We start from the raw sequence: 24,653 nt of genomic DNA on the forward strand, positions 1-24,653 counted from the left end.
TTTCTCATTAGGAACTCGTTGTAAGTTTCAAGATTCCAAATCAAGGTCATTGAAGATGAAGTTGTCATTTGGTCAGTAGTTGTCTAATAAGAATCATGTCTTCAAGGTTTCATTGTGCATTTTCCCAAAGCCTTATTAAACCTGAATTAGCTGAAATCCGGGTGAACAAATTGGCAACAGCAGTGGTATCCCTCCCTATGTAAACAACCATCAGTATTGTTTTACTGTTGTAATAAATGAAACATGATTAGCCACCATGAGTTCATGACCTACCTTTATTGTGCTCAGACTAGTGACAAAAAAAAACCAAAAACAGTTTTATCCCTCAAGCCGTAGAGGTTCCTAAACTATTAGAAACAACCATTTGTTCATTCGTGGTCACTTAATGGTAGAAAAAATAGATAATATAATGCTAATTCAGTACAACCATTCTTCTAATCTATAATGAGTTGAATTGTCTGGGCACAATGAAGTGTGAGGTTTCTCTCTTAAGAGCCCTGGGCTTCTCTCCTTCTAGGGATTCACTGTGACGACTAACATCCCAGAGCCAGTGTGGTCCTTGTAGGCCGAGGTTGGGTAGATGGCAGAAATAAAAAGCATTCTGATAGAGAATGAAGGCATTTTGCTTATGTTATTAGCTGAATGATTCCTTAGCGATATAGGTAGGAGTCCACAAAAATCTATGAAAATTATAAATTGTTATTTTTTAAACTAGACATTAATAAACTCCCTTAATAGTGATAAAGAGCTCCTCTTGACTAAATAAGTCATCCTAACATGGAGTTCAAGTTTTCACAATCGCTTTTAACAGAATAATACAAGATGACAGTATAGCTGACTTGCAATTATAATACAATTTCAATTACAATGAGCATACTTTCTAGATTTTCTTTCCCAAATGGAGAGCCCAAAAAGAAGTAACAAAAGACTCATTCATCAAGTGAAGAAGAAAATCCTTTATTTTTTGATGAGCAAAAATAAGAATAAATTGCTGTTCACACTGGATAAGACCATATCAAAAGTGACAGTAAACATGTACACTGTTGGTGTTATATGGGGATGGGGTTCTCGGTAATTTTGTTTATTATTTATGTTTATTATTATGTTTTATCATTAATTATTCAATAAATTTTTATTTAAAAAGTCACCCTACTTAGAAATCTTCTGTGGGGGTGGGAGGGACAAAAGATTACAAACCAAAACTCAGGAGATGGTAACACTGGAATTGATAAAATCACCTGGGATTAGTTGTATAACTCTGAACCACCAAACCTCTGCTATCAAGCCTTGCTACAGTCATGGCTGTCCAGAAAGATTTACAGTTATTTTTCTGAGAAAGGATCCATGGGCTTTAAGAACTTCAGAACTTTAAGAACTTCAGAAGTTCTTAAGTTGCTGAAGCTCAAGTAACGAAGTTGAATGCAATCAAAAAAAGAATACCAGGGAGTCAAGGCTTGAGAGGCACATTCTTATCCTAAAGTGACTGCTCAAACCTGACGAGACCAAGTAAATTACTGAAGATACAAAGAGACAAAATGCAGATTACCGTCCTTATTCCTATAACTCAAAAATTTTCTTTGTTGAAGTAGAATTGAACCTTTCTAGGATCCAGACTGGAATATCGGTGACAGCATTTGCGCAGGCTCTTTGCCAAAGTCCGAGGGCCACATAAGAAAACTCCCACTACAGACCTGTAGGAACAGAACAATAGTAAGGGCTAGAATGCAGCAATGACAGAATGGAGAAACTGCCTCTGTTAGGCCTCTACTACTTCCAAGAACCTTGAATAAAAATTCGGTTGTTTACTCCCACGTTCTTCATGGTAGTTTTTTAACCTTTTCTGCGCACAAACCCCAAATATGCTCTCAGCCCTTAACACTCTCAGCACTCAGCCTTCCCTGTTTTGAGAACACAGATGACAGACATAAGACAGTGCAGTGGCTAAGTGCCAGACTGTGCAGCCAGTCTGTCTGGGTTGTCTGGGCTCAAATCTCAGCTCTGACATTTATCCCACCTGTGGGACTTTGGGCACATTTCTTTTTTTCTTTTTTCTTTTCTTTTTTTGAGATGGAGTCTTGCTCTGTCCCCCAGCTGGAGTGCAGTGGCACAATCTCGGTTCACTGCAACCTCCACCTCCCAGGTTCAAGCAATTTTCCTGCCTCAGCCTCCTGAGTAGCTGGGACTACAGGCACGCACCAGCATGCCCAGCTAAATTTTGTATTTTTATTAGAGATGGGGTTTCACCATGTTGGCCAGGCTGGTCTCAAACTCCTGACCTCAAGTGATCCGCCTGCCTCAGCCTCCCTAAGTGCTGGGATTACAGGCGTGAGCCACAATGTCCGACAAGGGAAAATTTCTTAACCTCTCTCTGTTTCAGCTTTCCCACCTGTAAAATGGGGATAAAAATAGTACTTACCACATAGGGTTGTTTTAAGGATTAAATAAGAACATGTAAATAAATTAGAAAAATGCCTGGCACATAGCAAGTACATATGTATTAGCTCCCATTAAACCCATCCACTGTGAGCTTATCCCTACCTCAAAATTTCTCCTAGTGGAGAGGTAGTGTTCTTTCTTGCCAAAGCTAATCTTTCCAACTATGCTCTGGGTCTCACCGTCTTCTTCCTTCTCTCATACCTTTCTCTCCCCCTCTTTTTTAAAAATATAATTATGGTATAGTTTCTATACCATAAAATTCGCCCCTTTGAAGTGTGCAATTTGTGCTTTTTAGCACAGCCACAAAGTTATGCAACCATCACCACTATCTAATTCCAGAACATTTTCATCATCCGCAAAGAAACCCCATCCACATTAGCAGTCCTCATTTCCTCCCAACTACCCTGTCCTACCCAAGACAATCACTTTACTTTCTGTCTCTGTGGGTATGCCTATCCTGAATGTTTCACATAAGTGGAATCATACAATACATGGCCTTTGGTGTCTGGTGTTTTTCAGCATGATGTTTTCAAGATTTGTCCATGTTGTAGCATGATTCAGTACTTTGTTTTTTTTTTAATAGCTAAATAATATTCCAGTATGTGAATATACTACATTTGCTTCATCCATTCATCTATTGATGGATGCTTGGCTTGTTTTCACTTCGGGGCTATTATGAGTAATGCTGCTATGTACATCATGTACAAGTTTTTGTGTAGACATATATTTTCATTTCTCTTGGGTGTATAACAAGGAGTGGGATTGCTGGGTCATATGGAAACTATGTGTTTTTTTTTTTTTTTTTTTTTTGAGACAGAGTCTTGCACTGTCACCCGGGCTGGAGTACAATGGTATGATCTGGGGTCACTGCAACCTCCACCTCCCGGGTTCAAGCGATTCTCCTGCCTCAGCCTCCCTAGTAGCTGGGATTACAGGTGCCCGCCACCATGCCCAGCTAATTCTTTTCACCTTTTTTTTTTTTAATGGAATCTCGCTGTCGCCCAGGCTGGAGCGCAGTGGCACGATCTTGGCTCACTGCAAGCTCTGCCTCCTGGGTTCACGCCACTCTCCTGCCTCAGCTTCCCAAGTAGCTGGGACTACAGGCGCCCGCCACCGCACCCGGCTAATTTTTTTTTGTATGTTTAGTAAAGACAGGGTTTCACCGTGTTAGCCAGGATGGTCTCGATCTCCTGACCTCGTGATCCACCCACCTCGGCCTCCCAAAGTGCTGGGATTACAGGCATGAGCCACCACGCCCGGCCTAATTTTTTGTATTTTTAGTAGAGACAAGGTTTCACTATGTTGGCCAGGCTGGTCTTGAACTCCTGACCTCGTGATCCATCTGCCTTGGCCTCCCAAAGTGCTGGGATTACAGGCGCGAGCCACCATGCCCAGCTGGAAACTGTGTTTAACACTTTGAGGAACTGCCAAAGAGTTTTCCCCGAGTGTGGTATCATTTCACATTTCCACAAGCAATGTACTAGGATTGCAACTTCTCCACTTCCTTGCCAATACTATTGTCCATCTTTTATTATGGCCATCTTAGTCCTCTCCCCTCTTTCATGTATTTATTTTATTTTATGTACTGGTCCTTGTTCTGTCTATAAATATGCTTAAGCTAAATGAACATTTCCTGACCCTGCTACTCTTCCAACACTATTGACCACGCTTCTCTAATATTTGCTCCCTTGGGTTCTGTGACACCACTTCTCTGTGTACTCCTATTTCTTCCCTGGTTTGTCTTTTTCCCTTCCCATATAACCTAGGCAGCATTCCTTGGTACTCTGTCCCTCGCTAGTCTCTCTCTCTCCCTCCCTCTCTCTCTCTCTCCTGACAACCTCATACTCTCTCAAAACTTCAGTTACATTCAACATGATAATTAGCATCTTTTATGCTTATATGCTGCTTTAAAATTTACAAAGCATTTTTTCATATATTGTCTCACTTAATTGTCATAACAACCCTGCAAGTGAGTAGAGCAGGCATTCACTAATATGACCCTTGTCTTACAGATGAGGAATCAAGATCAGAGAGTTCAGAAGTTCAAGGTCTCATAACTAGAAAGTGTCAGAACCAGAATAAGGGCCGGGCATGGTGGCTCATGCTGTAATCCCAGCACTTTGGGAGGCTGAGGTGAGTGAATCACCTGAGGTCAGGAGTTCGAGACCAGCCTGGCCAATATGGCGAAACCCCATCTCTACTAAAAATACAAAAAATTAGCTGGATGTGGTGGTGGATGCCTGTAATCCCAGCTACTCGGGAGGCTGAGGCAGGAGAACTGCTTGAACCCAGGAGGCGGAGGTTGCAGTGAGCCGAGATGGCACCATTGCACTCCAGCCTGGGTGACAAAGCAAGACTGTGTCTCGAGAAAAAAAGAGAGAACCAGCATGAGGACCCAGGATCATCTGAATCCAAGTCACTAAGTGCTCTAGCCACTGCCTTCCTGAAGCCTTTCCTAATCACCCCATGTGGCCGTAGACTTTTCTTCCCTCCAGCATCCGTGAACCTCTTTCACGGAGTGCATTATTCTGCTTTGAGGTGATTGTGTGCATCTCTTATTCAAATGTATGTTCCTTGTGGGCAAGAACCATATCCTATTTCTCTTTCAACCTCCAAAGCTTCTAGAATGGTGAGAGCTGAGCTTATAAAAGGTAACCAAGGCGGGGCTTGGTGGATCATGCCTGTAATCTCAGCACTTTTGGGGGCTGAGGCAGGTGGATCACCTGAGGTCAGGAGTTCGAGATTAGCCTGACCAACGTGGTGAAACACCATCTCTACTAAAAATACAACAAATTAGCTGGGCATGGTGGTGGGCACCTGTAATCCCAGCTACATGGGAGGCTGAGGCAGGAGAATCGCTTGAACCCGGGATTCGGAGATTGCAGCAAGCAGAGATCGCACCACTGCACTCCAGCCTGGGCGACAAGAGCGAAACTCCATCTCAAAAAAAAAAAAAAAAAAAGGTAATCAAGAATATTTGTAGCATTGAATTGATCATCACCTCCCTACTTGTTCAGGGAATCTCAGCTTCATCTCCTTCCCATTGGAATGGCTGATTTCATAGCACCAGGATTTTTTGTGCTGTAACATGTCTCAAAACCCTCCAGAAAGATTGAGCTCAGGTGGCCAGTAAACTAGATAATACCTTTGTTACTTTAAGTAGAGATTATTGAGTCCCCTCCCCGCAAAAATGCATTTGAATTGCTCCAGTTCTCTAGTTTGTTTGGTAGTATAGATCAGAAGTGGGTCCACTTGCCTCACTGTTTGAATGGAGTTTGCTGGGGCAAAAAAACCTCTTTTCATCATTTTCAAGATCATGACCCTATTTTTCTAAAACCCCAGATGAAATTTCCTCGGTCTTCACCAAGAATCTAAGAATGGCACAAAAGATTTCTGCCCCAGAGATCTTTTCTTAAGAGTGTTCAACATGTTGTAATACCTTTCCTAAATCCTAACTCCGCACTCATCTTTTTTTTTTTCTTTTGAGACAGAGTTTCTCTCTTGTTGCCCAGGCTGGAGTGCAATGGCGCTATCTCAGCTCATTGCAACCTCTGCCTCCCAGGTTCAAGCAATTCTCCTTGCCTCAGCCTCCCAAGTAGCTGGGATTACAGGCATGTGCCACCACGCCTAGCTAATTTTTGTATTTTTAGTAGTGACGGGGTTTTGCCAAGTTGGCCAGACTGGTCTCGAACTCCTGACCTCAGGTGATCCACCCACTTCGGCCTCCCAAAGTGCTGAGATTACAGGCAGTAAGCCACCACGCACGGCCCCTGTAAACTCATCTTACTAGAGGAAAATATACTTACTTGGGGTGGGAGGTAGCTATTGTAGAAAACTCATTGTCCCACATTGGTCTCCCAAAGGAGGTTTTCTGTTTCAGACCTGTCACGATGTCAGTGGCCTTGTCAAAGTTTAATGCTGCATGACCAACCTGGATTCAGAGGAATAAAAGTTAGAAAAACCAAGTCCTAGGCTGGGTGCGTGGCTCACGCCTGTAATCCCAATACTTTGGGAGGCCGAGGTGGGTGGATCACCTGAGGTCAGGAGTTCGAGACTAGCCTGACCAACATGGTGAGACCCCCATCTCTACTAAAAATTCAAAATTAGCTGGGCATGGTGGCGCATGCCTGTAATCCCAGTTACTCGGGAGGCTAAGGCAGGAGAATTGCTTAAACCCAGGAGGCAGAGGTTGTGGTGAGCCAAGATCGCACCATTGCACTCCAGCCTGTGCAACAAGAGTGAAACTCTGTCTCAAAAAGAAAAAAAAAAGAAGAAAGAAAGAAAAGAAAAACCAAGTCCTGATAGCTGCCTCTTCTTTCCACCACTTTTAAACTTGTGTGTGAGTGTGAGGGCAGGTAGGAAATCATAAGAAATAACTTCTAATCCATATGCACTATCCTTTGTCTGACATTCGTCTTATGTTTAGTAGGGGAATTAGTGTGTTATTTGGACTCACAATATTGCTGTCCCATCCGGTGAGGAAGAGACGGTAGTTTAGAAAACCCACTTTGCCTAATTCCTCCATCTCCTGTTCCAGGGAAGTCAACAGGTTGTTGAACCAGGAAAAGGCACCTGTCTCCCTGCAGATCCAGTAGAAATAGATCTGAAATCAGCAAGAGAGAACATAGCCTTATTAGGTGACCTTAAAAGTCACATTTATAGAGCCGCAAACTTTAGGCAGCAGGAATGTTCAGAGTTCTGACAATTTTCCTTAGGAACGAGCCTTCCAACATCTTTGGTCAGGGTGATCTTAAACTCCAAATTGAAAAGAAGACCCTGTTCTTATGATAAATCTGTAGAAGTGGATGTCCTGGCCAAGAGAAGTGATCACTTATTCTCATAACTCCAGGGATAGGTTGCTCCCTTATCAATTGTAAAGAGCTTAGCCCAAGAAGGCAATAGACTTGTCAGACTCAGGCCAGAAGAAAAGTGATATACGGGATTATACCTTTTTTGTTTTGAGGTTGTGGTCTGCACACTGGAATTTGTACCAGATGGATTTCAAGATAGAAGCAAAGGGGGTGACCCCAATTCCTGCTCCAACCAGCACAGCCACTTCATACTGGAAAACATCCTCACTGGCTGTGCCAAAGGGACCATCCACTTCAATCCTGGCAGAAGACAGAAGATAACGGGCAACTGAAGACTCCCCTCCACCTCCAACCTCAAACATCCTCCCAGAAATATAGTTGTTCTCATGGCTGACTTCTGCATATTTATTATAATCCTATTCTATTGTACCAAACTTAAGATTCAACGAAGAATTGCTTTCTCTTTTCTGCCAGTCTGCATCCTGGTCTGGGACTCTCCTGGTCTCAAGGACCTACCTGGGAATTGGTGAATATTGTTGTTCGAAAGCCCTTATGAGATTTTCTGTCCAGTCCCCTGCTGCTCGGATATGAATGGAGAAGAAATCTTCCTCTGGAGCAGAGGTCAAAGTAAAAGGATGCCATTCCAGGAGAGAGATTGAGGGGCAATTAACAAAGATATACTGCCCCACTTCCATGCTGAAGCCACGCTTGTTCATCTGCAATTCCAAAACTTTGGATGGGTGCATAACAACCTGTGAATGAAGCACATAGACCAAAGAAAGCAAACTCTAATGACGACAGGGACAGGCAGATAAAGCAAATGAGTGAAGCTGGAGGGCTGGTGACAGTGGTGAACTACAAACACAAGTCCTCTCTAAAGAGGGCAGCAGCTACTTAGCTCCAGACAGTGGTTGCGATATGGAACCATGACAGTGTTATCAGGTTTCCTGATTCTTCAAGAGAAGCAAGAAATAGCTTTTAAAAAATCAAACGAAAGCTTCCATCCAGATTTTTAAATGTTGGCAACCAATTCAACTTTATAAACAAACATTGTGTGCACCAAACAAAATATAGCTGTGAACTAGCTCTGGCCCAGGCTGCCTGTTTGCAACCTCTGATATAGACTCATCCTGATGATTTCGGCCAAGCCCCTCTTTCCCAGTTCTGTCCAGTGCTGGAGGAACTGAGGTATGCCAAACCCAAGTTCTTCTTCTTTTTTTTTTGAGACAGAGCCTCTCTCTGTCACCCAGGCTGGAGTGCAGTGGCGCTATTTCAACTCACTGCAACCTCTGCCTCCCGGGTTCAAGCGATTCTCCCGCCTCAGCCTCCCAAGTAGCTGGAATTACAGGTGGGCACCACCACGCTCAGCTAATTTTTTTTTTTTTATTAGAGATGGGGTTTCGCCATGTTGGCCGGGCTGGTCTCGAACTCCTGACCTCAACAGATCTGCCCTCCTTGGCCTCCCAAAGTGCTGGGACTACCACCCACTGTGCCCAGTTTCCAAGTTCCTCTTTCAGGGTGACAACATAAAAATTTAGTTCTGTAGTCCGGTAGAAGATAACTCTTATCACAGCAAGAGGAAAGTGCATATTCTTTACCTTGGTAATCACAACCTTCTGCTGGGAGCGGTAAAACCGGAGGATCCTTTCACAGATATAAAGAATGACCGGTGCAAGGATCCACTTCCAAGACTGCACAGAGACAGGGTTAAGAATGAGATTACACACTAATTTCTTGTTTAGGACTTATTTGTGTAGCAGTTCATCCTTCATTCTTTACTGAGTTCTCCAATGTGTATCATTTTTAAGCTACTAATTTCACCAAATCTGGAAGATGGAAATAGAAAAAATAAAGGACAATGGTTTCGTTTGCTAATCTGTTATTCATAAAACAGACCATTTCCTGAAAATTTACAAGTCTGACCAAGAAGCAGGAGAAAAGCACAGAAATGGAACACATGGTAAATATTCTTATTCTTAAATTACATATAAAATTTAATTTTAAGGCCTGGCACAGTGGCTCATCCTAGCACTTTAGGAGGCCGAGGCGGGCAGACTGCCTGATCTCAGGAGTTGGAGACCTAGCCTGGGCAACATAGCGAAACCCTGTCTCTACTAAAAATACAAAAAATTAGCTGCGCGTGGTGGTGCATGCTTGTAATTCCAGCCACATGGGATGCTGAGGCATAAGAATCGCTTGAACCCAGGAGGCAGCAGAGGTTGCAGTGAGCTGAGATCACACCACTGCACTCCAGCCTGGGCAACAGAGCAAGACACTGTCTCCAAAAAAATAAAATAAGATTTAATTTTAAGAATCTAAGACTGTCTTCGAGGACAGCTTGTCCAATCTAAAAAACCAACAGAGAAAGTAGATGTGAAATAGAGGCAGATGATTAAAAACAAAACAAACACAAAAAAGGGAAAGTATGTGACTGATGCTACTGGTACATAAAACTCAGTACTTATCCATCACCTCCTTTCTCAAGTGCTTAAACATTTAACATAGTAATATCTTTTTTACCTTGTCTACATTTTTTTTAAAGGCAGCTTTTTGGCCAGGCGCAGTGGCTCACGCCTGTAATCCCAGCACCTTGGGAAGCCAAGGCGGGTGGATCACTTGAGATCAGGAGTTCAAGACCAGCCTGGCCAACATGGTGAAACCCCATCTCTGCTAAAAATACAAAAATTAGCCGAGTGTGGTGGTGGGTGCCTGTAATCCCAGACACTCGGGAGACTGAGGAAGGAGAATCACTCGAACCCAGGAGGTCGCAGTGAGCCCAGGTCGCGCCACTGCATTCCAGCCTGGGTGACAGAGTGAGACTCCGTCTCAAAATAAATAAAATAAATAAATAAATAAAGCAGCTTTTCTATCCCTGAGATCTTTGCAAAGCAGCAGTTTGCTTCTACCTGCACAGGAACTACTAAAAATATACTTCCTAGCAATACTAAATTATGTCCTTTCTTGCACAGTTGCTCAAGTGTGATACATTGGGACTGTGTGAAGTGAGGTTTCTTAAGCTGGTGCAAGCAAATAACTTCCTTGAGTATCTCTAGGGAAGGAAGAGGCAGAGATGGGACAAATCAAACAGAGTGAACATTATGCAATTCAGTGCTATTTCTTATTTGAAGAAAATTCCCCAGCTCAATTTGAGGAAAAACATATTTAAGAAATGGATAATAACAATGTGAAAAAAATATTGGCCTCAGAAATAGTCAGAGTAATAAATATTAAAACAAGATACCATTTTAGTCTCTCAAATTGAAAAACAATTTTAATTAATAATGCCCAGCATTAACTGGGATTCAGGGAAATGGGAGTGTTCACGTGGGCATGCAAATTGAACATGCATTTCACAGGGGTGAAAATGCAAATTGGCAACATCTTCCCAGAGAGCAGTTGAGCAGTATGTCTCAATAGCCTCAAAAGCATTCCTTCTCTTTTACCCTGGAACTTCACTTCTGGGAAATGAAGATAAATAATTAAGGTGTGAAAAAGTATTATGCACGAGTAAAGTAATGGCCACAATGTTTACTTTAAGAAATGATTAAAATGGTATATATACCATACACATATTTTCCTTCTCTTTCTCTTTCTTTCTTTTTCTTTCTTTCCTTCCTTCCTTCCTTCCTTTCTTTCTTTCTTTCTTTCTTTCTTTCTTTCTTTCTTTCTTTCTTTCTTTCTTTCTTTCTCTCTCTTTCTCTTTCTTTCTTTCTTTCTTTCTTTCTTTCTTTCTTTTCTTCCTTCCTTCCTTCCTTGCTTTCTTCCTTGCGTCCTTCCTTTCTTTCTTTCTTTTTTTTTTTTGACAGAGTCTCACTCCGTGCAGTCACACAGTCTCGGCTCACTGCAACCCCCGCCTCCCGGGTTCAAGCAACTCTCCTGCTTCAGCCTCCCAAGTAGCTAAAACTACAGGCATGCACCACCACACCTGGCGAATTTTTGCATTTTCAGTAGAGATGGGGATTCACCATGCTGGCCAGGCTGGTCTGGAACTGCTGGCCTCGAATGATCCACCTGCCTCAGCCTCCCAATTAGCTAAAACTACAGGCATGCACCACCACACCTGGCGAATTTTTGCATTTTCAGTAGAGATGGAGATTCACCATGCTGGCCAGGCTGGTCTGGAACTGCTGGCCTCGAATGATCCACCTGCCTCAGCCTCCCAAAGTGCTGGGATTACAGGCATGAGCCACCACTCCTGGCCAACTATTTTAAAACAAATGTTTCAAGGCCGGGTGCGGTGGCTCACGCCTGTAATCCCAACACTTTGGGAAGCCAAGGCAGGTGGATCACCTGAGGTCAGGAGTTCGAGACCAGTCTGGTCAACGTGGCAAAACCCCGTCTCTACTAAATATACAAAAATTAGCAGGGCGTGGTGGTGCGCGCCTGTAGTCCCAGCTACTTGGGAAGCTGAGGCAGGAGAATCACTTGAACCCAGGAGGCAGAGGTTGCAGTGAGACAAGATCACACCACTGCACTCTAGCCTGAGTAACAGAGGGAGACTGTCTCAAAACAAAAAAAAATGTTTCAAAGGAAAGCATCCATTATATCAATCAAGGAAAAACATTATTTCCTCTAGGTGGTAGAACTCTATGAAATTTTTTATTTACTTCTAGTATTTTTTGTATTTTCCAAACTTTCTACAATAAATGTATATTATTTTTCTAATTTTTAAATGGGGTGAATATGGAGAGAGTATTTTTTAAATGTTTATGGAAGAAACAAAGCAATACATTCAGGTGGCAAAACTGGTATTCTCTCTCTTAGAGTATTACACGACCAACCAAAGCAACCCCTAAGTTTTAAGGATACCAAATAGACCAACTATAACTTAACTCAGGTAATAGATGAGAAAAAGACAGAAGCTGATGTGCAAGATAAGACAAGGTATTAACCATCTTAGCTAGTAAGCTTTCCTAATAATCTTTAAATAGCTCCCTATCTTTTTTTTCAAGAGAATTAAATTGTTTATTGATTACACATGATAATGGATGATACACAAGCTTCATTCCCATCTATAATTTTATCTGGTACCATTATTCAACGTAGATATATTGCATAGGATGTGCCAACAATTATTTTTATAACCAATAATTCCATGATTTTGCTTGGGTAGTCCCTTTTAATGGTGAACTTCAGGTCACAACAGTAACTATCAATTCAATTACACCAAGGTTTCTGAAGACAATGGCTTCTCCACCCAAGCAGGTTGTATATAAATTCCAAATAGAACCTGGCATCACCCTGAAGGAATGCTAACTTCACACTGTTGGGGAAATTTACCAAGATGGCTTCAGTGTAGACTAACTTTACACAGCACATTAAAAAAAAAAGACATTTATTCAGTGTCATGATCAGACTATCACATATAGCAATTTTTTGCATGGGTGCAAAAAAAATCTACATTAAAACCCTTTGTTGGAATGCTTTACACTTTCCATAGAACAGAAACTAAAATAACCTGTTATACAATTAGTCACAAATACAGTCCTTGACTTTTTTGCCCATAAACATGAGTATTTGTATAAAACATGTCTTCTTTGTGGCAGCTAGGCCCTGCCACCACTGTGTTTGGCTGAGTTCATGAATCTGTTGTAACCTGTAGCTTCTCTGTCACTTCTCTGGCTCTCCTCTCCTGCTAAGCTTTGATTCCCAATTAACATCTTCTGCCACTGCCATAGCTACTGCTGCTACTGGAACCGCCATAGCCACTGTGGTTTGGTGGTTTGGCAAAGTATTGGCCTCCATCACCCTAGGGGCCAGAGCGTCTGCCCCAAAGTTTCCTCCCTTCATGGGTCCAAAATTTGAATACTGATTGTTGTAATTGCCAAAATCATTGTAGCTTCCACCACCTCCAAAATTGCTTCCACTACCACTGCCAAAGCCGCCTCTGCCTCCCTTGTTACAGCTGTCATAGCTGCCACTCCTGCCATAGCCACTGTCCTGATTTCCACAACCCTGTCCACCACTTCCATAGCCTCTGCTTCCTCCAGAGTAACCAGGGCCGCCTCCTGGATAACCACCATCATTACCAAATCCATTATAGCCATCCCCACTGCCACCATATCCACCACCATCATGGCTGCCACCAAAGCCACCATGACCACTGAAGTTTCCTCCACAACCAAAGTTTTCATTCCCACCAAAACCACCTCCACGACCACTTCGACCTCTTTGGCTGGATGAAGCACTAGCCATCTCTTGCTTTGACAGGGCTTTCCTAACTTCACAGTTGTGGCCATTCACAGTATGGTATTTCGGAATGACAATCTTATCCACGGAGTCATGGTCGTCAAAAGTTACAAAGGCAAAGCCCCTTTTCTTGCCACTGCCTCAGTCATGATTTCAATCACTTCCATTTTTCCAAACTGTTCAAAGTAATCTCTTAGGTGATGTTCTTCCGTGTCTTCTTTAATGCCACCAACAAATATCTTTTTCACAGTTAAGTGGGCACCTGGTCTTTGAGAATCTTCTCTTGAGACAGTTCTCTTTGGTTCCACAACTTTTCCATCCACCTTGTGTGGCCTTGCGTTCGTGGCTGCATCCACCTCCTCCACAGTGGCGTATGTGACAAACCCACAGCCCCTGGAGCGCTTGGTGTTTGGATCTCTCATTACCACACAGTCTGTGAGCATTCCCCATCACTCATAATGGCTCCTCAGGCTCTCGTCAGTTGTTTCAAAGCTCAAATCTCCAATGAAGAGCTTCCTCAGCTGTTTGAGCTCTTTAGGAGACTCTGACTTAGACAAGATGGAAGGGAGAAGAGAGACTTTAACGATGCTTCTTCAGTGGCGTACACGGGCGGAAAGGCAATAGCTCCCTATCTTTAAGGTCCTCTTGTCTACTAGTCCGCTAATACAGATCCCTGGTTATGATCTTATAATTTCCTCTGACTTTAGAAATGAAATGTGCTATTAACATATCCCAGGTATGTCCTTCCAAAATTACTTTTTTTTTTTGAGATGGGGTCTTTCTCTGTCAACCAGGCTGGAGTGCGGTGGTGCCATCACAGCTCACTGCAGCCTCAATCTCCTGGGCTCAAGTGATCCTCCCATCTCAGCCTCCCATGTAGCTGGAACCAGAGTCGTGCACCACCATGCCCGGCTAATTTTTTAATATTCTGTAGAGACAAGGTCTTCCTATGTTGCTCAGATTGGTCTCGAACTCTTGAGCTCAAGCAATCCTCCTGCCTCAGCCTCCCAAAGTGCTGGGATTACAGGCATGAGCCACTGTGCCCCACCCAAAATTACTTTTTTTTTTAACTTCTATTTTAGGTTCAGAGGTACATGTGCAGTTTGCAGGTAAACTACATGTCACAGGGGTTTGGTGTACAGATTATTTCATCACCTAGGTAATAAGCCTACTACCCATTAGATAGTTTTTTGATCCTCTCTCTCCACCCTTTCTCCATTCTCAAGTAGGCCCCAGTGTGTTATTCCCTTCTTTGTGTGCATATGTACTCAATGTTTAGCTATCACTTATAAATGAGAACATGTGATATTTGGTTTTCTGTTTCTACATTAGTTTGCTTAGGATAATGGCCTCCAGCTCCATCCATCTTGCTGCAAAGGACATGATCTTGTTATTTTTTATGGCTGCGTAGTATTCCATGGTATATATGTACCACATTTTCTTTATCCAGTCTACCATTGATGGGCATTTAGGTGGATTCCATGTCTGCAGTTTTGAATAGTGCTGCAATGAACACACAAGTGCATGTGTCTTTGTCATAGAATGATTTATATTCCTTTGGGTATATACTCAGTAATGGGATTGCTAGGTCAAACGGTAATCTGTTTTCAATTCTTTGAGGAATTACCACACTGCTTTCCACAATGGCTGAACTAATTTACATTTCCACCAGCACTGTATAAGTGCTCCCTTTTCCTTGCAACCTCACCAACATCTGTTATTTTTTGACTTTTTAATAATAGCCATTCTGACTGGCGTGAGATGGTGTGTCATTGTGGTTTGGATTTGCATTTCTCTAATGATCGGCGATGTTGAGCATTTTTTCATATGCTTGTTGGCTGCGTGTGTGTCTTCTTTTGAAAAGTGTTTCTTTATGTCCTTTGCCCACTTTTTTTTTTTTTTTGAGACTTTGCACACTTTGTTATGGGATAATTTGTGTTTTTTTGTTGTTGTTGTTAATTTGTTTAGGTTCCTTATAGATGCTAGATATTAGACCTTTGTCGGATGTGTAGTTTGCAAATATTTTCTCCCATTCTGTAGGTTGTTTGTTTACTCTCTTGGTAGTTGCTTTTGCTGTGCAGAAGCTCTTTAGTTTAATTAGATCCCATTCATCAATTTTTATTTTTGTTGCATTTGCTTTTGGTATCTTCATCATGAAATCTTTGCCAGGGCCTATGTCCTGAATGGTATTGCCTAGGTTGTCTTCCAGGGTGGTTGTCTTCTACGGTGTTTATAGTTTGGGGTTTTACATTTAAGTCTTTAATCCATTTTGAGTTGGTTTTTGTATATGGTGTAAGGAAAGAGTCCAGTTTCAATCTTCTTCATATGGCTAGCCGGTTATCCCAGCACCACCTATTGAACAGAGTCCTTTCCCCATTGCTTATTTTTGTTGACTTTGTTAAAGATCACATGGTCATGGATATGCAACATTATTTCTGGGCTCTCTATTCTGTTCCATCAGTCTGTGTGTCTGTTTTTATACCAGTACTATGCTGTTTTGGTTGCTGTAGCCTTGTATAGTTTGAAGTTGGGTAACATGATGCCTCCAGCTTTGTTCTTTTTGCTTAGGATTGCCTTGGCTATTTGGGCTCTTTTTTGGTTTCATATGAATTTTGAAATAGTTTTTTTTTCTTATTCTGTGAAGAATGTCATTGGTAGTTTGGTAGGAATAGTGTTGAATCTGTAAATTGATTTGGGCAGTAGGGCCATTTTAATGATATTGATTCTTCCTATCCATTAGTATGGAATGTTTTTCCATTTGTTTGTGTCATCTCTAATTTCTTTGAGCAGTGTTTTGTAACTCTCATTGTAGAGATCTTTCACCTCCCTAGTTGGCTGTATTCCTAGGTATTTTATTTTTTTTGTGGCTATTGTGAATGGGATTGCATTCTTGATTTGGCTCTCAGCTTGGGTGTTGTTGGGGTATAGCAATGCTACTGATTTTTGTATATTGATTTTGTATCCTGAAACTTTGCTGAAGCTGTTTATCAGATCTAGGAGCTTTTGGACATAGACTATGGGGTTTTCTAGGTATAGAATCATATTGTCTGCAAACAGGGATAGTTTGACTTTTTGTCTTCCTATTTGGATGCCTTTTATTTCTTTCTCCTGCCTGATTGCTCTGGACAGGACTTCCAGCACGATGTTAAATAGGAGTGGTAAGAGAATGCATCCTTGTCTTTTTCCAGTTTTCAAGGGGAATGCCTCCAGCTTTTGCCCATTCAGTATGATGTTGGCTGTGGGTTTGTCATAGATGGCTCTTGTTATTTTGAAATATGTTCCAGCAATGCCTAGTTTGCTGAGAGTTTTTCATATGAAGGAATGTTGAATTTTATTGAAAGCCTTTTGTGTATCTACTGAGATGATCATATGATTTTTGTCTTTAGTTCTCTTTATGTGATGAATCACATTTATTGATTTGCATATGTTGAACCAAACTTGCATCCCAGGGATAAAGCCTACTTGATCGTGGTGGATTAGCTTTTTGATGTGCTGCTGGATTCAGTTTGCCAGTATTTTGTCGAGGATTTTTTCATCAATGAATGATCATCAGGGATATTGGCCTGAAGTTTTCTTTTTTCGTTGTATCTCTGCCACGTTTTGGTATCAGGATGATGCTGGCCTCATAGAGTGAGTTAGGAAGGAGACCCTCCTCCTCAATTTTTTTGCAATAGTTTCAGTAGGAATGGTACCAGATCTTCTTTGTACATCTGGAAGAATTTGGCTGTGAATCTATCTGGTCCTGGGCATTTTTTAGTTGTAGGCTTTTTTATTACTGATTCAGTTTTGGAACTCAATATTGGTCTGCTCAGGGATTAAATTTCTTCGTGGTCTGGTCTTGCGAGGTTGTATGTGTCCAGGAATTTATCCATTTCTTCTAGGTTGTTTTTTTTTTTAGTTTGTGTGCATAGAGATGTTCATAGTAGTCTCTGAGGGTTTTTTTTTTTTTAATTTCTGTGCGGTCAGTCATAATGTCCTCTTTGCCATTTCTGATTGTGTTTTTTGGATTGTCTCTCTTTTTTCTTTATTAGTGTAGCTAGTGGTCTATTCTTTATTTGTGTAGCTAGCATTCTATCTATCTTATTAGAAAATTACTTTCTAAATAGGTAATATATGTATATGGTACAAAATCTGAAAGTACAACAGTACAATAGTAAAAAGCAAATCCTCCTGCCCCTCCAGATCCCCAGAGGTAATGTTATTATTTTGTGAATTCTTCTGGAGAACATGCATTTAAATGATCTTTTCAATGCAAATGATAGGAGACTCTACACACTGCCCTGCCTTTTGCATTTAACATCTTAGAGACTGGTCCCTATTAGTGTCTATGGTACTGTCTCTTTCGTTTTACTGGTTGCAGACTATTCCACTGCATGAAAGTCCCAAAATGTAACTAGTTCCCCACTGATGGACACTTGTTTCCAGTCTTTTTTTCTATTCAACAATGCTGTAATGAATAACTTAATGCATGTAATTTAACACATATTTAAGTATATTTGTGGAATAAATTGGAAGTCGAGTTTTAAACCTTAATTGCTACTGCCAAATCACTCTCTACAAGCAGTTGTATAGGTTTACACTCTCACCAGCAATGCATAAGAGCATTTTTCCACACTTGCCAGCACCATACATTAGCAGGTTTTTTAATCTTTGCTAATCTGTTAGGTTAACAGATTCTTGTAGTTTTATTTGGCATTTTTTTCCATTATGAATAACATTAAGCATCATTTCATATATTTAAGATAAGGATATATCTCCATTTCTGAGATTATTCTGTTCACATCTTCTGTTTCTCTTTTTATCATGTTATTAGGCTTTTTCTTATTGATTTCTAGGAGTTATTTATATATTAGAAAATTAGTCCATGCCCTGTGAGTTGTAAATACTTTTCCTACTTGGTAATTTTTTGTCTATCTTTATTTACAATGGGAATTTTTGTTTATTTGTTTGTTTATTTTGACACAGGATCTCACTGTCACCCAGGCTGGAGTGCAGTGGCATGATTACAGCTCACTGCAGCCTCAGCCTCCCAGGCTCAAGTAATCCTTTCACCTCACCCTCCACACCACCATGCCCAACTAATTTTTGTATTTTTTGTAGAGATGGGGTTTTGCCATGTTGCCCAGGCTGGTCTCAAACTCCTGGGCTCAAGCAATCCACCCACCTCAGCCTCCCAAATTGCTGGGATTACAGGTGTGAGCCACCGTGCCCGGCCCGATGGGGATTTCTTTTGCCATGCAAAATTATCTCTTCTTTTATGGCTTCAGGGTGGTTTATCTTATTTAGAAACATGTTCCTCCACTTCAGTATTAGAAAAAAACTTCCCACGTGGTCTTAAGGTGCTTTTATGGTTTTTTTGCTTCATGTATCCTCGATTCATATTTTAGTGCAAGGCGTGAAATGAAGATATAGCTTTTTTCCCAGATGATGATCTTATTGTGCTAAAAATTATTCATTTATCCTTTTCCTGCTGAATTAAAATGCCAACTTTAGAAGACTTTTTGTTTTATATATTTTTCCTGTTCCAGATGAGAACTAAGCTATTGCTCTTAATCCTGAATCTGATTTAAAGACCTTAATCATTCTCAGAATACTCTGAGGCACCACAAATCAACCTTCCCCTTCCATTTACTCCTCAATATAACCTATTTTGTGAGCAAGCAAAGGTAAATAATAATATCCGCAAGAATTACCCTGGGGCACACCTTGAGTTCCCTAGAACACAGTTTCATAATCACCCAGTATCTAACAAAAATTTCCAAGCATATTCTTAGAACACCAAAGAAAGCCCACTTCAAGAATGCTTTATTTCCCCCCAGAATTTGACTGGAATATCACGGCTGAGCTTTGGGACAGTATAGTGGTCAAGAGTTCAAACCTTTGGAATCCAAAAGGCCTGGGTTTGTATTCAAGCTCCACTACTTACTGTAAGAGCTTGTCAGTTTACTTAATCTCTTGGAATCCTGTCCTTTTGTTTCAAAATTTAGACAAAAAAGAAGTAATATCTCATAGGCTATTGCTATATATAAATGAAATAATCCATATTATGCAGCAAGGCTGGCAGATGATAAACACAATTAATAATGTGGGCTATCATTATTACCTTTGCAGAGGGTCTCACAACATGCAAGAACTATTAGTTTTTTCTCTTCAAGATCCCCTTGTAATTGCCTGTTGCCAGTGATACTGGAAGTTTCTTAAAGGTAGGAACCCCATAGATATCCTTCATAAGACCCAGCACAGGACTGAACTAATAATAATGATGATAATAACAATAAGAGTAATAATAAGAATAATAACAGTAACAGCTCCTAACAAGAGTCTGTCCTTGCCCGTAGGGCTCTTACCTCAGGGGGATGCCCTTCAAACTTAGGGCGCCTACAGTGGGAGTCACGATCATCCCACATCTCAAAAGACTCTGCACACTTGCGAGGATGACTCTCATTCATGCTCTCCTCTGTTTGACCCCGGACAATTCCACTGAAATAGACAAAGAAGGATGGTTTGGGACAAAGAATTATGCAAGGTCAGGGGCTGGGGCATGAGAATGAGGGTTCGAGGATCTTACCCAATGCCGTGAATCCCTAAGCCAAGGATATAGAAGATAAAAAGGTGGTGAGTATACCAGAAGACTTCAAAATAACTCCTCCGGATGAACTCAGTAGCTGAAGTTACCATGAGAATCAAGGCTATTGTCATGATCACTCCAGTGAGACCAGCAATGCTGGTGAATGTCACATACTCCACTGTCTGTGAAAGGAGAAATGTCAGCCTGACACAATGTCCACCTGTGCACTTCCTGCTCATGACCAGATCTCAGATGCTTTGCTAGAAAGTCAACTCACCGTGTTTCGGGACTGGATGGGATTTAGCCAAGAACCCCCCTTTTTCTCATCATGAGATAGGCTGGAGAGAATGGAGGCAAGGGAGCCATCTGTGGCCTGTCGGCTTCTGCTATAGCAGTCAAAGTTAAACAGGTGTGCAATGATGTGAATAGCTAAATGGAAAGATGAAAAGAAATGTTAAGAGGCATCTCAGCAACATCATGGCAGGTGTGCCCCACTAGACTAGAAGAATCCTACATTATAGTGCTTAGCAGAATGCTGAGTGCACAGAAGGTGCCCAATAAACCCTCGATTGCGGAGAGATCTTTTTTATATTTACTCTGTTCCCAAAGGAATAGAACTTAAGCTCCATGAAAACAGGCCAAGAACAGTGCCTGACAAATAGTGCCCAGTGCTCGATAAATATTTTTTGAATGTGCATATGGATGGATGAATGAAGCAAGATTCTGAATGCCCTGGAGTCTGCAGATTCATGGATTGCCTGAGTTACCTGTATGTAGGCAGATCATATAGGCCACCAGCTTGTGGAAGGTGAGGTTGTGATCCAATTGCTTTCTCAGTGTGCGGCTGCAAAACTACAAATGTAGAATGATCATGGTCAGATGTCGCCAGCCAGCTTTATTAAATTCACTAACCCATAACCAATATGTCTTGCATATAGCATGCCAATACTCACCCGCACTAACCCACCCCCTTAGCTACCAAAGGAGACTTCTAGCTTCCATTCCTAGGAGCATGGTGTTGGACTGTCCTACTGAGGAGTCTGGGGTCTCCTTCTTTAATGTGAAAGTTGACTTAGGAGTGGTTGGGACTCACTGAGCAGGTGCCCCTCAGGAAGGACAGCAGATTGCGACACACAGGAAGCAGGATCAGCGTGCTGTTAAAATTCAAGCAGAGAGCAGACGCTCGGGCACAGGCCAATGTTGACTACAGCAGAGGAGAAAAAGAGACCATCAGCTGCTTCATTTCACCATCTAGCACGTGAGCAACTGACCCAGCCCACTCATCTGAGGCCTGCAAATGAACAGGGCTACAGCTGCCTCTCCTCTCTCTCAGTAGCTAACACCATCAGGCCAGGCTCTGTTTGCAAAATACATAAAACATACTGAATTTAATATTGAGTTGAGAAATTCCCATGACAGTAGTTTGGAAATGTTTGACTACATTTATTAACATGAAAGAGAATAGGATTTAATGATTACATGTTAGCAAAACATTCTATGGCTGTAACATTTTACTTAATACTCTTTATTATAATTTTGTTATTTGTCACTTGTAAAAGAGTCCTAAGGATCAGATATAGATATAGATATAGATATAGATATAGATTTTTCTTTTTGAGACAAGGTCTGGCACTATTGCCCAGGCTGGAGTGCAGTGGCGAGATATCGGCTCACTGCATCCTCTGCCTCCTGGGCTCAAGCCATCCTCCCACCTCAGCCTCCTGAGTAGCTGGGACTACAGGCGTGCACCACCATACCCAGCCAATTTTTGTATTTTTGGTAGAGACAGGGTTTTGCCATGTTGCCCAGGCTGGTCTGGAACTCCTGAGCTCAAGAGATCTGCCTGCTTTGGCCTCCCAAAGTGCTGGGATTACAGATGTGAGCCACCATGCCTGGCCAAGGATCATATATACCTTTATTTGCATTTTAAATAAAGCTCATACTTAGAGGTACAATTACAGATGGTATTTTATTCTTTTCTGTATTTTCTAATATTGCAGTTATAAGCACATAAGAGTTGTATAATAAAAACACTTAAAATTTTTAACCAATTCTATTTAAGATGTCTTTAAAAATTGAATAAATTTAGTCAAGACTAGCAAACCTCTTGGAGCAAAATTTTTAAACAGGTAGATATTTGAGAAGGGAGAACTTCAGAGGAGCAAAATTTTAAGCTGATTTCCTTGGGTGGCCAGGCAGCATAAATCAAGAACAACCTGATCCAGCAGTAGAAGCTGCTAGCAAAGGAGACAAGGAATCAATGCTTCAAAGAAGCATTTAGCCCCAAAAAACAGGCCTTACTAGGTATAAGCTGGACAGAATATGCTTAACTCCATGGCAGCTAAATCTGACTTCTCTCCTCAACTCTGTACAACCGGTCTCTGAGTCTACTTCATGAACTTGGGACTGCTATGGAGTGTGACAATGTTGTAGCAGAGGAGCTGACAGCAGCAGCCAGGCAATTTTTGTTGCACTTCTGCTGACTGGCCAGCCTTACATTGTGTGCCTGTCAAAGACTTTCTAAAAGGAGGGGTATGGGTTAAGGTTAACAATTTCTTGGCCTTTTTGTAATTATCTATGAAGCACAAAATTGATTTTTCCTTATATCGTAAACCCAGGAACATGTGATGTTAGTTTAATAAGCCAGGACAAGATCTGCCTAGTATCTATAATGGCTAAGAATGTCAGGCAATGTGGTGAACAAAAGCTGCCCTACTGTTTTCCATTTCTGGCTTTTCCACATGACCTGTGTTTTCTCCCTCTGCTGACTCACACCCTGACTGTTTTTGGTACAGACAGCCTGTTCCACTTCTGAGTAAATTTCCTCTGCTCATCTCAGAGATCCTGCATTTCCACATTGGTTCCCACTACTTGCTTATTTGAATCACAGAGATTTCTTAAAGCTAAAATTGGCAAGTGAATTGAAAATATAGGACTATAATTTCACAGTTCCATATTCTGTGGTGGCTATCTGTATAGGATGAATTCTTTTTAGAGAAAACATTTTTTCCTCGTTGCAGCACATTTAAATATGCCAATGTATGTTCATTTCTCTAGATCTCCACTCACTGGTGTTATAATTGAACTCCTGCTGTCATTAATGCATAATTGACTATGGATTTAAACTTCTTCCTCTGCTGCTTATCTGCTCTACTTCATAGCGAATCAAATTGTTATCTGTATTTTCCCAAGGTGAGCAGAGCATGAATTTAAGAAATAACCTGTGGAATGTTTCAATAAATTATGGCATATCAATGCAATGAATTGTTATTCTCTTAAAAGGCTGAGAGCTCTATGCAGTGATGCAGTGATGGTAAATGTTTTAATGACTAGCTTTTTGGGAGGAAGGGGATTCCTGATTTCCAGCATTTGCCAATTTTGATGATGTAAATACTCCCACCATGCCAGATTTCAAGACACTAACTTGATGTCATTGAACACCACTGAATGCAGAGTTGGGAAGAGATGCACGCAACTGGCATTGCAACCTGGTATGAGCTGGTTTCAGCACACCACTGGTTAGGCACTCACATGGAAAGATATCTGAGGCTGGGAGCAGTGGCTTACGCCTGTAATCCTAGCACTTTGGGAGACCAAAGCGGGTGGATCACTTGAGGTCAGGAGTTTGAGATCAGCCTGGCCAACATGGTGAAACCCCGTCTCTACTAAAAATACAAAAAATTAGCCAGCCATGAAAGTTCGCACATGTAACCCCTGCTACTTGGGAGACTGAGGCAGGAAAATCGCTTGATCCCAGGAGGTGGAGGTTGCAGTGAGCAGAGATTGCGCCACTGCACTCCAGGCTGGGCGACAGAGTGAGACTCCATCTCAAAAAAAAAAAAAAGAAAGAAAGATATCTGAGATATATTAACATAAGCAATTTCCAGCCAATATCTACAAAGTGATCCCTTTTTTGGTTAAAACAAAAAGCTGTGTGTCTTATTATATGTGTTTACCCAAACTCATAGAACTGTATACCAAAAAACAGCAAATTTTACTATATGAAAATGAAAAAGTGAATAAACGATAGTACCCACCTCAAAAACAAAACCTGCGTGTCTGATACATTTGTGAGCTTATGTCAGTGTGTGTGTCCCTGTGTGTGTGTGTGTGTGTGTGTGTGTGTGTGTATCTCTGGGGAGTAGGATGGGAGGGAGATTTTCACATTTTACTTATACACTTCTATTCGCTTGGTGCAAAAGTAATTGCGGTTTTTGCAAACAGTTTTAATAGCAATAATTTTTGCACCAAACTAATATGTGCTTTGATCTCATTGGAAGCAGCATTATTGATAATTAAGGTTTTAAAATAGGGATTTAAAAAATGAAATGTCCTACAGAGTGGAATAATGGATATTGGAGACTACAAAATGTGGGAGGGTGGGAGGGGAGTGAGGGTTGAAAAATGACCCACTGGGTACAATGTTCACTATTCAGGTGATAGGTAACTAAAAACCCAGACTTCATCACTATGCAATATATGCATGTAAGAAACCTACACTTGTGACTGGGCATGGTCGCTCACACCTGTAATACCCGGCCTTTGGGAGGCCGAGGTGGGAATATTACTTGAGCCCAGGAGTTTTGAGACTAGCCTGAGCAACACGGAGACCTCATGTCTACAAAAAAAAAGTATTTATTTATTTATGT

At 41.4% G+C, this 24,653-nt stretch overlaps 1 protein-coding gene and 1 pseudogene across 4 annotated transcripts in view; both read right to left on the minus strand.

The window, feature by feature from the left end:
• NOX1 (NADPH oxidase 1) overlaps positions 937–24,653 on the minus strand; it is a 31,036-nt gene continuing 7,319 nt past the window's right edge. Inside the window, exons 3-13 of one of the 4 annotated variants that reach the window (NM_007052.5) lie at positions 21,098–21,208; positions 20,772–20,856; positions 20,282–20,433; positions 20,005–20,186; positions 19,784–19,916; positions 8,846–8,938; positions 7,764–7,999; positions 7,385–7,547; positions 6,893–7,039; positions 6,243–6,367; positions 937–1,691 (exon numbers count right to left, since the gene is read on the minus strand). In NM_007052.5, the coding sequence (NP_008983.2) occupies positions 1,565–1,691; positions 6,243–6,367; positions 6,893–7,039; positions 7,385–7,547; positions 7,764–7,999; positions 8,846–8,938; positions 19,784–19,916; positions 20,005–20,186; positions 20,282–20,433; positions 20,772–20,856; positions 21,098–21,208 (1,554 nt within the window). In that variant the 3' untranslated portion in view covers positions 937–1,564. Of the gene's footprint in view, positions 1,692–6,242; positions 6,368–6,892; positions 7,040–7,384; positions 7,548–7,763; positions 8,000–8,845; positions 8,939–19,783; positions 19,917–20,004; positions 20,187–20,281; positions 20,434–20,771; positions 20,857–20,957; positions 21,065–21,097; positions 21,209–24,653 lie in introns of those variants that run through there. The other 3 variants (XM_017029407.3, NM_001271815.2, NM_013955.3) reach the window with 3 other exon arrangements.
• On the minus strand, positions 12,186–14,054 carry HNRNPA1P26 (heterogeneous nuclear ribonucleoprotein A1 pseudogene 26; annotated as a pseudogene).

Source organism: Homo sapiens, chromosome X, assembly GCF_000001405.40.
Source record: "Homo sapiens chromosome X, GRCh38.p14 Primary Assembly".
Lineage (NCBI taxonomy): Eukaryota > Metazoa > Chordata > Mammalia > Primates > Hominidae > Homo > Homo sapiens.